Source organism: Homo sapiens, chromosome 9 (assembly GCF_000001405.40).
Source record: "Homo sapiens chromosome 9, GRCh38.p14 Primary Assembly".
NCBI classification, from domain to species: Eukaryota; Metazoa; Chordata; class Mammalia; order Primates; family Hominidae; genus Homo; species Homo sapiens.
In genome coordinates this window covers 97,304,581-97,318,653 of record NC_000009.12, presented here as the reverse complement: position 1 = coordinate 97,318,653, position 14,073 = coordinate 97,304,581, and the positions used below count along the sequence as shown (strand labels likewise).

At 49.3% G+C, this 14,073-nt stretch overlaps 1 protein-coding gene and 1 long non-coding RNA gene across 5 annotated transcripts in view, besides 5 other annotated features; both read right to left on the bottom strand.

Annotated features, from left to right (window-relative positions):
* CCDC180 (coiled-coil domain containing 180) overlaps positions 1-11,317 on the bottom strand; it is a 71,415-nt gene extending 60,098 nt beyond the window's left edge. The window contains exons 1-11 of one of the 2 annotated variants that reach the window (NM_001348010.4): positions 11,103-11,317; positions 10,848-10,918; positions 10,522-10,671; positions 9,050-9,240; positions 6,453-6,541; positions 5,318-5,418; positions 4,133-4,261; positions 3,926-4,036; positions 3,708-3,803; positions 1,426-1,589; positions 72-191 (exon numbers count right to left, since the gene is read on the bottom strand). In NM_001348010.4, coding sequence (NP_001334939.2) covers positions 72-191; positions 1,426-1,589; positions 3,708-3,803; positions 3,926-4,036; positions 4,133-4,261; positions 5,318-5,418; positions 6,453-6,541; positions 9,050-9,240; positions 10,522-10,590 — 1,070 coding nt within the window. In that variant the 5' untranslated portion in view covers positions 10,591-10,671; positions 10,848-10,918; positions 11,103-11,317. Of the gene's footprint in view, positions 1-71; positions 192-1,425; positions 1,590-3,707; positions 3,804-3,925; positions 4,037-4,132; positions 4,262-5,308; positions 5,419-6,452; positions 6,542-9,049; positions 9,241-10,521; positions 10,672-10,847; positions 10,996-11,102 lie in introns of those variants that run through there. The other variant, NM_020893.6, reaches the window with a different exon arrangement.
* The window catches only part of SUGT1P4-STRA6LP-CCDC180 (SUGT1P4-STRA6LP-CCDC180 readthrough), a 138,870-nt gene that overhangs the window by 58,642 nt on the left and 66,155 nt on the right, over positions 1-14,073 (bottom strand). For 2 of the 3 annotated variants that reach the window (NR_036528.1, NR_036527.1), the window contains exons 15-24: positions 10,848-10,918; positions 10,522-10,671; positions 9,050-9,240; positions 6,453-6,541; positions 5,309-5,418; positions 4,133-4,261; positions 3,926-4,036; positions 3,708-3,803; positions 1,426-1,589; positions 72-191 (exon numbers count right to left, since the gene is read on the bottom strand). This is a non-coding gene — a long non-coding RNA (SUGT1P4-STRA6LP-CCDC180 readthrough). The remainder of the gene's footprint in view (positions 1-71; positions 192-1,425; positions 1,590-3,707; positions 3,804-3,925; positions 4,037-4,132; positions 4,262-5,308; positions 5,419-6,452; positions 6,542-9,049; positions 9,241-10,521; positions 10,672-10,847; positions 10,919-14,073) is intronic. The other variant, NR_036529.1, reaches the window with a different exon arrangement.
* Positions 6,065-6,565: an enhancer, noted in NCBI's record as "H3K4me1 hESC enhancer chr9:100074371-100074871 (GRCh37/hg19 assembly coordinates)". NCBI's record gives its function as "activates a minimal SCP1, AML or CMV promoter by ChIP-STARR-seq in naive H9 embryonic stem cells {active_cell/tissue: H9 hESC(naive)}" and the evidence as "EXISTENCE:reporter gene assay evidence [ECO:0000049][PMID:30033119]".
* Positions 10,790-11,290: an enhancer, noted in NCBI's record as "H3K4me1 hESC enhancer chr9:100069646-100070146 (GRCh37/hg19 assembly coordinates)". NCBI's record gives its function as "activates a minimal SCP1, AML or CMV promoter by ChIP-STARR-seq in naive H9 embryonic stem cells {active_cell/tissue: H9 hESC(naive)}" and the evidence as "EXISTENCE:reporter gene assay evidence [ECO:0000049][PMID:30033119]".
* Positions 10,790-11,527: a biological region, named in NCBI's record as "Sharpr-MPRA regulatory region 563".
* Positions 11,233-11,527: a silencer, noted in NCBI's record as "tiled region #563; HepG2 Repressive non-DNase unmatched - State 24:Quies". NCBI's record gives its function as "represses a minimal TATA promoter and a strong SV40 promoter by Sharpr-MPRA in HepG2 cells {active_cell/tissue: HepG2}" and the evidence as "EXISTENCE:reporter gene assay evidence [ECO:0000049][PMID:27701403]".
* Positions 11,233-11,527: an enhancer, noted in NCBI's record as "tiled region #563; K562 Activating DNase unmatched - State 8:EnhW". NCBI's record gives its function as "activates a minimal TATA promoter and a strong SV40 promoter by Sharpr-MPRA in K562 cells {active_cell/tissue: K562}" and the evidence as "EXISTENCE:reporter gene assay evidence [ECO:0000049][PMID:27701403]".

The following is a 14,073-nucleotide window of genomic DNA, read 5'->3' as shown; positions in this document are numbered from 1 at the left end:
TGCAGGCCACTTCTGCCTCCCTCACTGCACCCCAAGAAGCACCCCTCCTGGGCCGCCCCTCCTGCCCATACCAGATGGTGCAGAGATGCTTCAGCCGCCTTTGCTGCAGGACGTTCTGGGTCTTCAGCATGACCTCTAGCTCCTTCGTCACAGCCGGGGGAGTATGGATACTCTCACTGGCCATGAACTCACTGGTGGCCAGACATGTTGGCACCATAAAGGGGAGAGGAGGAGCAGGGCAGGAGTGAGAGAGGGAAAGAGAACCATGGTGACAGCATTCAGAGCCTCAGCACTCCTTCCCTAACACCACCCCCAGCCCCTTCCTCCCCAGACTTTGCCTCTTCTCTAGGACCCTAAAGAAAGGAGGGACAGAGGGTGGGTGGGAGAAAGCGGGGACAGAGGAATGGAGGAAAGAATGGAGGGATCGTCAGGTCAATGGAGCTCTGGCACCAACAGCATGAGACCAGCAGGCTCAGATTTGATGGGGTCCTGACCACCGCCTGCCTGCTCTGTAACTTTGGTCAAGTCCTTCTCCTACTCTGAACCTCAGTTTCTTCTTCTGTAAAATGGAACTCATGATAGTGCCTTTCTCGTTGGCACTTGTGGGCACTCAGTAAAATGATGCAAGCAAGCCCCCTAGCACTGTGCTTGGCTCATGGGAAATGCCCAGTAAACGGCAGCCATTGCTATCACTGTTGATGATGTTTGGCATTTATAACAGCTTCCAGGTGCCAGGCCCAGATAGGCACTTTCCATGCAGTATCTGGTTGGATCACTGAAACTCTGTCACAGGTCCATTAGGATGCCTGTTTTGCATAGGAAGAGACAGATTCCGAATGTTCAAGGGCTTGGTCAAGGTCACATGGAAAGGCAAGATGGAGGTAGGCCTTGGTACACTTTTCCTTCATCCACAGCAAAAGTGACACTTGGCAGAAGAAGCATGGACAAGGGACCTCTCTTCACACCTCCTCCCATGGGAGGGAGGAAACACGCTCCCCAAGAGTTGGGAAGTGTTTGCCTGAAGGATGTCCACTTGTTCAGGCCCAGTGTCCACAGGGTTATGAGTGATAATAAAGAGTGGAAATTATACAGATAATTGGATGAATGTTTTCCAGCTGTATGGAGCTCAGAGAATGGTCATGAAGCAAGGTTCATGAATAAAATATGAAACTGCATATACTCTATGGATCTAAAAGAGCCTGGGAGAAAATATACCAAAATATTTGCTGTGCTTCTCACTGTGGGGAGAGATTAGTGGTGATTTTTAATTTATTCTTTATACCTTTATCTATTTCTAACTTTAAAAAGAGCAGAGAGAAACAGCAGCATTTTTAAGTAATGGCAAAAAGTGAGGGAGAATGCCGCCCCTACCCTTTGCCAGCCCCCCTGGTGGGCTGGAGAAGGAGCTGTGTGGGCGGCACTGACCTGAAACTCTGCAGCAGGGCCTCCTTCTTGAGAGCCTTCCAGGTGTCCACCAAGCCTTGCCAGCGGTGGCGGCTGTCCAGCTCCTGCTGCAGGGTGGACTCCATCAGGTTGACAAACAGCTGGGCGAGAGCCTTCCGGTTGCCCAGCAGGGCATAGTTCATGACCTGTGGTCACAGATGGGCAGGGCTCTAGACAGGGCAGGGTCTCTCTCGGGTCAGGGCAAGGCTCAGTTAGAGAGGAGCAGTGGGAGGCTGGAGAGGGGAGGTGCAGGGTGAGGGCCAAGTGGGGTGGTTGCAGGGCCTGAAGGGGACTGAGGGGTCAGTGGGCACTCGATGAAGCTTCCTGGCACTGAGTAGCCATGGACAAGGGTCTTCCTTGAAGGCTTAACCACAGACCCTGACTGCATGAGCTTCAGCTCAGCTCCAAGGTCACTTCAGATGGTTTGTTAAAGAAGGTGAAAGGAGGCAGGCACTCAGTGAGCTCTAAGTGTTTACTCTTTTTTATAAATTTCTTCCAAAAGCAGAGTGCTCGTGCCATCAGGGACGAGCCACATATGGTTGTTAGGAGAACCGAGACCCAATGGCAAAATGAGGCCAGAGCTAGAACATTCTTCAGCAGTCCTCCCATGGCTTCTCACCTGGGCACCCCTGGCATGGGCGTGGGATGATCCTCCATTGCATGGCACTGTTTTGCCCTTTAGCATACTTGCCCCTGCTTAGATGAGAGTAACTTCCCCCATCCTCCCTGGCCCCAAATGCCTCCACACATTTCCCAAAGCCCTCCAGGGAGGTGGCAGTATGCTGGGGCAGTGGGTGAGAACCCTGCCAAGCTCAGAGACTAGAAATTCCAGTAATGCTTTTCAGTGGAGCCTGAGGCTTGATTTAGCTGTACTTCCTAGCTGGGTGGCACTGGCAAGTATTTCCTCAACCTACAGATCCACAGCCGTAAGATGGGGTTCATGCTATTTATAGCATAGGGATTTTGTGAAAATAAATGAGAAAAATGCAGGTAGAACAAGTAGCAAATGCAAGTTGTAATAATGAGTAGAAGCACAAGGAAGGGAAGCAGTGAAACACATCCGGGACACTGAAATCCTTGACTCTTCTATTGGATAAAATGTGCACAACTTAGGAGCCCTCGCTGATCTCAGAAGACAGCTACCACAGCTGGACCCTCTTTTATTATCCTCCCAACAAGTCCTGACAGGTATTACAGGCAGTCCCCGACTTACGATGGCTTGACATGATTTTTCAACTTTATGATGGGTTTATGAAGGTGTTAAATGCATTTTTGACTTTCTACATTTTCTACTTATGATGAGTATACTGGGATGTGACCCTATCGTAAGTGGAGGAACATCTATATTATCTTCATTTAACGACGCAGCAAGCTCCAGGCTCAGGGGCTGAGTCATTTCAGAAGCTTCCACATCTGGGCAGTGGAAAAGGCCTGTGCTCACTCCTTGCCTGTGCTTTATCTGGGTCGCCATGGAGCTGACATGGGCTGGACCCATCTGTGATTCAGAACACTGTCCTCTTTTCAGCCTACTGTGCTGCCAGGAGGCCCCTTTTCCAGCAAGCTCAGCTCACTGCACAAGACCAGGAAACCCACAGTGTGCCTTTGGGCAGCCAAAAGAGGAGTCCTCTCTAGCAGCAGAGGAGTTAGACTTTGCTCTGACCTTGGAGACATCATGAACAACCTTGAATTTTGTGTTTTCCACCCCAAGGAAAGCAGCTGTGGGGAGGGGTGCTAGGGGCATGGACAGGGGAAAGCAGTGGGGACAGAGCCAAGAGGCAGGCTCAGCAATGGGCACAGACCACTGGTAGGAAGAGAGGCAAGAAGAGGCAGAAAAGCCAGACATAGCAGGCAGAGCAGATCACTCATGAAGGTGGAAACCACCCTGAGACCACCGTAGCCCCCCGATGACTCCATAGTGTAGCGCCTATTGCATTGCACACAGTTGCTGAGACATGACCTAGTAGGTGCTCATTAACATCATCAGCGCTCCAGACGATAGCCCTATATTAGGTGTGCCTGGTTCAAGATGTCAGGGAAATATGAAATGTACTTTAGAAAGATCTCTATTGAAAAGAGAGATAGCAAGGACTACAATAGCAAGGACTCTGCTTCTCTACCTCAGAGGCCCACCTGAGCCCCTTAGAAACGTTATAGATGAGAAGCCCACCATTCCTGAGACACCAGACACCAGGCTCGGGGTGCCCTGGGTTCCTGGTCCTGCCCCTTCTCCCATGGGCTGATCCCTGCACAGGAAAACCACTCACCATGGCTTCTTCATTTATCAGCCTGTACACTTCGGGCCGCATGAGGTAGGAAGTTTTCTCTATGACTTCTGCATATTTCTTCAACACGCTTTTTAGCTAGAAATGACAAGGCACCATACTTAGTGGCTCACTTCCTGGAGAACTAAAAGGAAACAGAAGGATGCCTAATAAACCCGGCAAGTGACAGTCACCACACAGCCCACCTGCAGCCGACTTACTTTATCGGTTCGGGAGAACTCCAGCGAGTGCAGGGCCTCATCCAGCTCCTTAATCTCCTGCTTCCGGAGCAGTAACCGCCCGGCCACCTTATCCCACAGCTCCAGCAGGGCCTACGCAGAGAAGTTTGGGTCAGGCTAGGAGCCGGTGGGAGGCAGGGAAGAAGCAGGACCTGGGTGGGGCAGGCCCAGCCACGAAGGGACCCCTACTTGGATGGTGTAGTCCTCAAGGTTGGTGTCATTTTCCACCTTTAGGAAGAGACGGTTCATTTCTTCATCAGACTCAGTCAGCTTCTTCAAAAAAAGTCCCCCTGTGTCCACGATGAGAGGTTCCATTTCCTGCAACAGGCCAGGGGTATGATGGCCAAGGCATCAGCACCCCTGGGAAGGAGGGAGCCTTCCCTGTCATGGGGGAAGTGCCAGGCATGGTTCTATCTCAAAAATGATGATCATTGCCTAGACCTAACGAGTTGAGGCTCACTACTCAGCTCACAACCACGCCACACGCTCTGCGCTGAGCCCTCCTTCTTGGCTCATTTGATCCTCATCACAGTCTTTGAATTGGCTGCTGACATCGGGCCTAGCCTACGGTTGGCCCTCAACAAATATTCATTAAAGACGTGGCCAAATGAAAGAATGCCAGGTTTACTTCAGATGAGGAAACTGAGGCTCAGGTAGATGGCTTCACCAAAGCCACAGAGCTCAAGGGTGAAAGCAGACCTGGCATCTAGTTGGGACGTATGAAGAAACACGGCTGGAGAGCCTGTTCTTGGTGCTTTGGGCACAGAGCCAGCTCCAGGAATCCAAGGCAGGACAACACAGGTCAGAAAAGACTCAGGGAGAAGGGGACAAATGGAAATCTGGGGCTCAGGGCAATCCAGAAGGGCAAAGGCTGGTCTCGTTTAGGGAACATTCCAGACACCAGTGTGTGTGGAGATGAGGTCTCTGGAGAGGAATGAGAGCTGAATGGGGGGCAGTCCATAAGAGCCCAGCAGAGCTGGGCTATCAGCAAGGGGTGTGCCATTCTGCCCTTCATCAGAAGGACTGAGCAGGGAGGCCGAAGGCTAGGCTTTGGTGTCAGACCTGGAGGGAAGTTCTGACTTGGGCCCTTATGCACCAAGTCAGGTGAGACTCTCTGGGCCTCACTGCAAAAGGGGTAACAACAGCACATGACCTGTAGGGCTTTTCCAAGAACTATGGGGACCTGTGCCCACAAACACTCATAACAAGCCACTCAGGCACTCAGAGAGGGTTCCATGTCGTCTAAGGCTCTGTGAGCCCCTGAGGACCTCTCTGCTGGAGAGGGGGAGGAAGGCTGGGAGCCATGACACACCCACCTTTGGAATGGCACAGGAAGGGAAGAGAAGGGAGAGGGAGGATTCTCACCTTTCCCACCTGCGCAATCTCCTCCTGAAAGCTGGCCAGAGCGCTCTCGTAGCTCTTCCTCTTGTGTTCTGCTTGCCTTTGAAAGGTGCTGGTGCTTATCTTCTCAGGAACTGCGGAGCAACAACAGAGGTGATGAGGCTGCCTTCAGAGCTCTCAGGAAAAGGCAGCACAGGCAGACAGCCCCTGCACACTGAGGCCTGGCTCAGAAGGTAGACCCCAGAGCCAGGTCAGGGTGGCAGAGGCTTAAGGAAAAAGAGAAAAGATGACAGTGATTCATGAGTGCTAGAGGGACCGAGGCCTCAGATATACAGTTAAGAGCTGAAAAAGTTCCAAAATAGTATGCACAGAATGTTTTTTTAAAAAAAGTTCTATGGAAGCAAATACATATAGAAATGATAACTGCCAACACTTCCTGCATAGTAGGTATTGTTCAAACTCAGCTAGTCTTCATGCTGAGGCCAAGAGGTGGCTTCCATTCCTAGCCTCGTTTCACATGTGAGGAAACTCAGTCATGGGGGGTTGTAGAACCAAGTTGGCCAGCAGCTGAGCAGGGATCTGGGCCACTTGCTTCCAGGTCTGTGCTCCTGCCATATGCTCTGCTGTCCCCTTTATCCAGGTGGAAAGCCGGATGCCACGTGGGTTAACCGGGGGTGGGTTGGGGTGGGGGCTGGTGACTCTCTTTGGAGAAGAACAGGTGTCATGGTGAAGGGGAAGGTTTTACTTTCTCTTTTTCTCCTTCCTTTGTTTTTCTTCAGTGAGCGTGTATTACTTTTTTAATCATAAAGAAAAAAGGTTTCTATATTAGGATAAGGTCAAACTAGGACAATGCAGTAGGAAGGAAGAAAATGCAGATGAGAAATACTGTTGGGAACCTGCAAGAAAACGAGTGGCATCCTTTAATCACCTGTTTTGCATCAGTAACTGCCCTCCATGCAGGCGGCTCCCCTCCTCCCCCAGCTCTCTGCACAGGGGAGGACTCTTGGCTGAGATGCTCAGGGAGAATGCCCTCCGGGTGGCTGAGCCGAGGAACACAGTGGGAGCTCAGGGCCTTCCTCAGAGGAGTTGCCAGGAGACGTCCCCACCTCCTGCCCAGGTCTCATCCTGGCCCAGGACAGGCCTGCCTTGAGGCTGAATGGAGGCTCACCTATAGTATCCATGAGACCCCGCACTTCTCGGGCAGCGATGGTGTTCTCACTCTCTCGGGCTTTTTCCCTCTTGGCTCTTTCCTTTTCCCTGAGACACAAGCAGAGAAGAGTGAAGTCCCAGCTCCTGATGCCATCCATGGCAGCTCTGGCACATAAGGGCACCAAGGGGTGGTTCTCCAGAGGGACTGTGGGCAGCAGCAATGGACCAGGCACACCCCAATTCCAGAGAGCCCTGAGGCAGTGCCCAGGCTCCCAACAAACGCCGCCTGGGGTTCCCTGCCAACAGACACCGTGGGTCCCTAGGTGAGAGGTTGGGTCCCTGCCCTCAGGGAGCTTGCTCTGGCTCTGGTGGTCAAGTGTGGATGATGAGCCTGAGCCACTTCCCACCTGGGGAAACTGAGGATCAGAAGGGGTACGAGCAGCCCAGTGAAGCCAAATCATGCTAGCTCTTGGCATGCATCCTCATTTGCTCCTTCAGCAGCCCATCCTATGACGTACTTGAGGTAACCTCATTTTCCAGAAAGGCGGATGGGGCTTATAGGAACCACAGAATGCAACAGAGAGGAGACTCCAAGATCAATCCTTGTGACACTAAGGCCCATGGAATTTGGGTGAGGGAGGAGAGAGCTGGGGTTTCAGGAGGAACTATTTCAACAGGGAGGACCAGCAGGGTGGACGTGACATCAGCTTTGGAACTGGCATCTGTGAATGCCCTGTCCATGGGGCAAGCACCATAGAAATCCCGCAGCTCCCAGCAACCGCTGCTATTCCTTGGGCGCCCCATATGTCCAATACTTTCCAGTCAACTTCTCATTTAGCCCTCATGCAGACCTAGCAGGGAGGAAGCTGCTGGGCCTGGGCTGCAGCTGATGGGGCCCAGGCCAATCTTCTAGAGACAGGTCTTTCAGACCTTGTCATTCTAAATGCCCCTGGACCAAGGCAGCCCTGTAGGAGCTGAGATGATGACACCTGCTGTCAACTCCAGCTTCTTGGTCACTTGCTCCAGGGACTTGGGGCTTGGTTTATACCAGTGGTGATTTACCCCCTGGCCTGGGCTGGTATCCACCCACCCAGGAGTCTGCCCTGGGTGATGAGCACATAGGTGGACTGGCCTTAGCTGGCCGAATCTTCAAACACCTGCACCCTTTGCTTTGACGCCTGAGGGAGACAGGGTGCCCTGGCTCTGCCACTCATGTGTTCAGCCCAGTCTGGCCTCTGCTAGCCCTGCAGAGTGTCTAGAGGGAGCTGGGCCCTATGGGTAGTTCCTCTAGATTCCCACCTGGGACATCAGGCTGCCTGTAACCCTGGATGCCCACCTGGGGCATCAGGCAGGGTGATATGGGCTAGAGAACACTGACCTCGAGTCTGGGCTTGGGTGGGCCAGTGGATTTTTCTATCTGTTGGGAGTTCAGAGCATGAGGGTCAGGAGTTTTGGGGGTGGCTTTCCTGGGAAAATTCAAAGGCCAGGTCAGGGCAGAGAACTATACTCAGCAAGGGGTCTGTCCCTGCCCCAAAGAGGGTGAAAGGAACAACCAAGACAGGCAGCGGAGGCCTGCTTTCTATCTCAGAGTCCCAGGCCCAGCAAGGGTTTATGGCTTGTGTAGAACTCAAAGTGCCTAAGGGGAGCACCGCGCCTGCTCCATTCTCTCAAGAACCCTGGGAAGATCTGTTTCTTCCTTTTCCCCATAGCTGACAGTCAGAGCTCAGCGAACTGAAATGGCATGCTTAGGAACTTCTGAATTTGGAAGTTCACAAGAAACTCCTGATCTCCATGCCTGACCCCCGCCTGCTCTCATCTGAGGAAAATACATTTCTGCTGTTCACCCAGCACTCAGGCCAGAGACCAAGGGCTCTCAGGAGCTCTCTCCTCCCCTCCAATTCATCACTAGGTCTCATGGGTTCTGCCTCCAAGAGACACCCGAGGCCCACAGCTACTTTCCCTCTCACAGCCACCAACAAGGTTACAAGGACAACTGCAGTGTCCTGTGCCCTGGCCTTCCTGCCTCTTCTTGAAGCCCCCCACATTCTGCACAGAGCTGCCTGAGGGACTTCAAAAATGCAAATCAGCTGCTCACTGCAGTAAAGTTCAAAATACTGACTGTGGCCTGAAAGGCTGCTCCCAGCCTCATCTCCTGCCCTCTCTCAGGGTCCATTTACCTTCAGCCTTCAGGAGGGGGCCAAGACCACCTTTCTCAGAGCCTTGTCCCCATACTGCACCCTCTGGTTTCAGCTGATCCTCCTCCTCAGAGAGCTTTCCTGACCCCTGTCCCATAGCCCCATCCCCTTAATCAGAGCTTTTCTGCCATTGGGGGGATGTGCTTATTTATTTACTTTCGAGGTCTCAAGTTTCATAAGGGTGGGATCCCCATACCCAGTGCCTGGTCCTAGGCACTTAATCAATAATGACTGTGGGAGTGGGGGAATGGGGGCGAGAGAAGCAAACCATCCTGCAAGGTAGGTATTAGCCTCCCTGCTTTAGGGGTGGTACTTGAGACTTCATTCCTACAGGCTACTCATCTTGTGCTGGCTCTTTTTGAGTTTTTGAAGGCTCAGGTACCCTAGTGCATGGGGGTGAGGCATGGACAACAGGACCTACCTGTGGAGAACAGGGTTTTCCATGATCCAGTCGTTGGGGAGGCTGTGCATCCACTTCTGCTGTCGGGGAGACATCACCTCCCCTTCAGGAGTCTCCACCTTCTTCATCATGGGTATCCTGCCACTCTTCAGGGTCACAGAACGCTCTGCAGCCCGCTTCCTGGTGGCCGCCAGGGAGTGGACCAGCTGCACCTGAATCCAGGGAGGACCAAGGATGGGGGAGTGGTCAGAGCTGCTGACTTCCTAGCACTCTCAGGCTGATGGTGGCTGTCTAGAAAGACATCCAGAGAGCTGCCCCCAGGAAGGTACTTTTCAGGAGGCCTTCAGCCCCAGGTCATATCCCTATAGGAGAGCTCTCCTCCCAGTAACAGTCACTCAGCCACTTCAAAGAAGGCCTCTTTCTAAGAACCTTAAATGAAGATCAAGATGAACATCTCAGCCTTTTTTATAATCACAAGAAATTGGAAAAACAGAACTGACTAATAATAGGGATTGGCTGAGTAAACATGGTATGTCTGTTTGATGGAATGTTAGGCATTTGTTAAAGATGAGACCCACAAATAATTTTTTATAACCTGAGGAAATGCTTAGGAGATGATATATGGTTAAATATATCACTTACATGCATTAGAAATTATAGAATTATAGAAATTAGAAATTAGAAATTATAACCAAAACTATACCGTATGATCTCAAAATTTAAAACGCATAGGAAAAGGCCCTGGGGGAAGTATGCCATGAGTTAAGAATGGCCTTAGAGAGAGCAGGATCATGTGAGTGATGTAATTGTTGTTTTGGCTTCTTTATACTTTTATAATTTCCAGAGGTTTTACAGATAATTATTTAAGGCTTAAATTAGGAATGCAAATCCCTTTTAAATAAGCAGTACAGAACTTCAAAGGAAGAATTTGGGTCTGTGTGTTTCTTTTAAGATCTTGTTTTGTCTATACAGTGCTTTAGAGAGAACAAGGCAATTTCAACAACCTACACTGTTGTCAAGAGGGCTTTACTTTAATACAGTTATGGGAGTCCTAGGTCAACAAGTGGGGAGCTGCTCAGTATGGTGAAATACATGGGCGCCCACGGGCATAGAAAAGGGTCTGTGAGATACTGTTATGAAGAAAAAGCAGATTTCAAAACACTAGTACAGAATGAAACCTATTTTTTAAATACAAAAATTAGTCATGTTTTTATGCATGGGAAAAACAGAGGTCACCCAGTGGTTCCATCCAGGCTATTTCTGAGTAATTTACATTTAAAATTTTAATTTAAGTTTTCTAATTTTCAAGAACTGACATTCTAATTTTGTATTGGTACGATTTAAGAACAAGCAAGAATTATTTTTAAAATCAAAGTAATTTCAAAGCCCTTGTTTTATTCAATTTCCAGTAGGGAAGCCCTGGGAGGGAGGGAAGTTTGGAAGAAAGCAAGGGAAGGGGGATGGAGAAAAGCGGGACAGAGGGCGGCTCCTACCTCAGCCTGGAAGATCTGCTGGTAGGCTTTCCCATTCGGAACCTGGGTCACCTTCCCCACTGACGACATCTTGGCCGCTGGCTGGATGCCCCTGCCGGGAAGCCGTCGTCCAGGAAACGCGTCTAGGCTTTGGTGTCTCAATTCCAATTCCTGAGGTTGGGAAATCGCCCGTCCCAAACTCAGGTTCAGGTCCAGGCGGGACGACGTCTGGCCTCGAGGCGGCACCCCAGGGCAGGACTCCCCGGGGAAGGACTCTCTGCTGGGGGGTAGGCGGCTGGGGAACGTCGACTTAGGGTTTTAACTTTCAACGAAACGATGAAACTAACCTCAGATGAGCTCTGAACTCGAGCAGGAGGCCGGTTCTCCCCGCCGCGCATGGCGCAAATCCGAAGGGACTCTGGGAACGCGAATAATACAGGATTATTGCTTGTGCTTCACTCTGCCATGCTCTTCGGGGAAAAGTTAACGGCGCTCAAGGTGTCGGTTGGGACTGGAACTCTAATGCGGCGCAGAATTCGCATCCGGGACCCTAATCCACCCTCCATGGGACACAGGGAGGAGAATTGGAGGGAGAGAGTAACCTGATTCAGGTCACGCTAATTAGGCGCCTACTGTGTGCTGAGAAGACCCAACCAGCCTCTGCCATCCCCCTCCCTAGCCCGCCAAGTAGACTGAGCAGCCCCTGGCCGTCCCCCTGAGCCCGGTAGATTGGAGGGAGGCCTTGCGTCCGGCCTGGCCGCGTCCCCGCCTGCAGAAAGCACCTCTCAAGGCAGCCAGGGCCGGTCCAGCGACAACTGCAGCTGGACGCCCATGGTCTCCAAGGCAACGCGGAGGGGAGGGACTGCCCCGGCCCCGCCCACGCTTTTCTTCCCAGGGAGGGGAGATTGCTCTTAGCAATGGGAGCGCCCCACGTGGCGTAGTGAAACTCAACTATTTCTTTCAATGCCAGTTCCTCCTCTCTACAAGGACTACAACCCCAGGGCTGCCAGGAGCAGCACTATTAAATGTTCTGAAAGGTGGTAGGATATATGAGATGTAGCACTGAGCCATCACGGTCAACAAAGTCCATCCTAACTTATTTGCCTTGGTTAAAACCAATCTCTGCTGGGGGACAGCATACGGTAGTGTTTGCCTGTAAGTTAGAAGCTGAAAGACTCTGGAAGAAACCATCTCTTTCTCATTTTAAAAGAGGTTGAGAGCTCAAAATTCAGGGATCAAGGCTTGCCTGGCCAGAGATGAAAATGCTTGTGGTTGGCACTGAACGTGGCCTCGGGTTTCCCATACATATGAGACACCCAGTGCCGCCTTACAGAATCCCTCCCTTTGGCAGTGATATGTTACAACTGCTAATAAATGCTCCCTATGCCAATTTTCTAGAATGAGTGATTGTTCTGTCCAGACTAGAATCAGAAATTAAGAAATGGTGAGTATAAAACCCTTTTATTCTCATTCTTCAGTCCTGGGTTTTATTAACAAGGTGAAGTACTGTAACAAAGATTAGATTCATTTTAGCTGGAAAAAGAAAACGTGTAGGTGACTGAGGGAAGGGATGAAAACACAATAACAAATAGGTAATGTCCAGGAATTACTTGCAGTCTCATATCTCTTTCCCATCCAAGGAGGCCCTACTGGCTTTGGCCTTGAACACTAGAAACTATTTTCCCTACCCAGATGCTTTCTGGGTTCTGGTTCCAGGCACATCTGTAATTTAGGGGTTTCTTTCTTTTTAAAAATTATATGGCTATAAATAGCAGGCATGGACATGTGAAGTATGGGATTTTGTTTTGATTAAACTCCATATTTATTGTCAAAAATTAAAAAAAAATGAAAAACTTCAATGGAGAAAGTAAAAATAACCCATAATCCCAGCACTGAGAATTTACCTCCCTTAACTTCCAAGTTTTTGAGACTGTGTTTGAGTTTGCATCAAACGTGGAAATTCGTGTTTGCCTTTTGGATGGCATTTCCATTCTCCTCCCAACCTGATAATATCATAGCGAAAGACTAACCAGTTAGAGATCATCTGGTTAGTCCACCTCCTGTGTTTAGATACGGGCAAAAAGCCAGAGATAGGGAACGGAAAGAATGACACCAGGGCCTCTGGATCTTTTTCTTGTAGCTCAGCATCATCTTTGATCTTTTCCCTCTCACTCTTAACTTTGAAAATGTCTCTTGACCCCATCCTTTTCCTTCCTCTATCCCAGGCTATTGTCTGTCTTCTGCATAGTCCAGACAAAGCAGAGCAATGAGGACCACCACAAGAGGCAAATATTTAATGAGAAGATTTAATGCCTGTAGTGACTATGAGAGGGGTGCCTTAAGTAACCCATTTTACTGATTAAGAAACTGAAATTCAGAGTCAGTGACTTGGCCAAGATCTCCAAGATAGGAAGATCTAGGATATGAATCTAGACCCTGTAATTCAAGTCTTGAACCATCTGACCTGTGACTAGCCAGAAAAAAAGTTATTTAACCAACTGATTGGATGTGCATGTTGAAGCATAGCGTACATATCTAAAAGTATAGAAATCATAAGTGAATAGCTCAATGAATTATCTGAAAGGAACGTGCCTAGTAAGCAGTACCCATAAGAAACAGAGCATTACCAACTCTTCAGAAGCCCCTTTTGTGTACCTTTCATGTCACTGCCCTCTCTTCCCCCAGGATAACAAATATTCTAACTTCTGAATTGGTTTTGCTTCTTTAAAAATTTTATTTAAATGGAACCATAGAGAATGGACTCTTTTATGTTGGGCTTATTTCATTATGTTTGTAAGTTGTATACTTTTTTTTTTTATTGAGACGGGGTCTCATTCTGTCACCCAGGCTGGAGTGCAGTGGCACAATCATAGCTCACACTGTAACCTCAGACTCCTGGGCTCAAACAATCCTCCCACTTCAGCCTCCCAAGTAGCTAGAACTACAGGCATATACCACTATACCTGGCTAATTTTTATTTTTTGTTGAGACAGAGTCTCACTATGTGGCCCACGCTGGCCTCGAACTCCTAGATTCAAGTAATCCTCCGCCTCAACCTCCTGAAGTGCTGGGATTACAGGCATGAGCCACCAGGCCAAGCCCATATATATATTTTTAATGTGTCTATGGTTTATTTCTGTATAGTATCCTATTATTAAAAAATATATACCCCATTTTATTCATCCTATTATTGATACACATTTGGATTTTTTCAATTTGGAGACTACCAATAATAATGCTGCTCTGACCATTCTTTTGTATGGTGAACATATGCAGGCATTTTTATTGGGTGTATATTTAAGAGTGGAATTGCTGAGTCATAGAATATGTGTATGTTCATCTTTAAGAGATACTACCAAAGAATTTTTGAAAATGTATCAGTTTACATACAGCAGTGTATGAGAGTTCCAGTTGCCCTACGTCCTTGCCAACATTTGATATTGTCTCCTGTTTTTATTTTAGCCACTACATGGTAGTATCATCCTATGGTTTTAATTAGCATTTTCCTTATTAGTAACAATGTGGACACATTTCGTATACTTGTTGGACATCTGGATGTCTTTTTGTGGAATG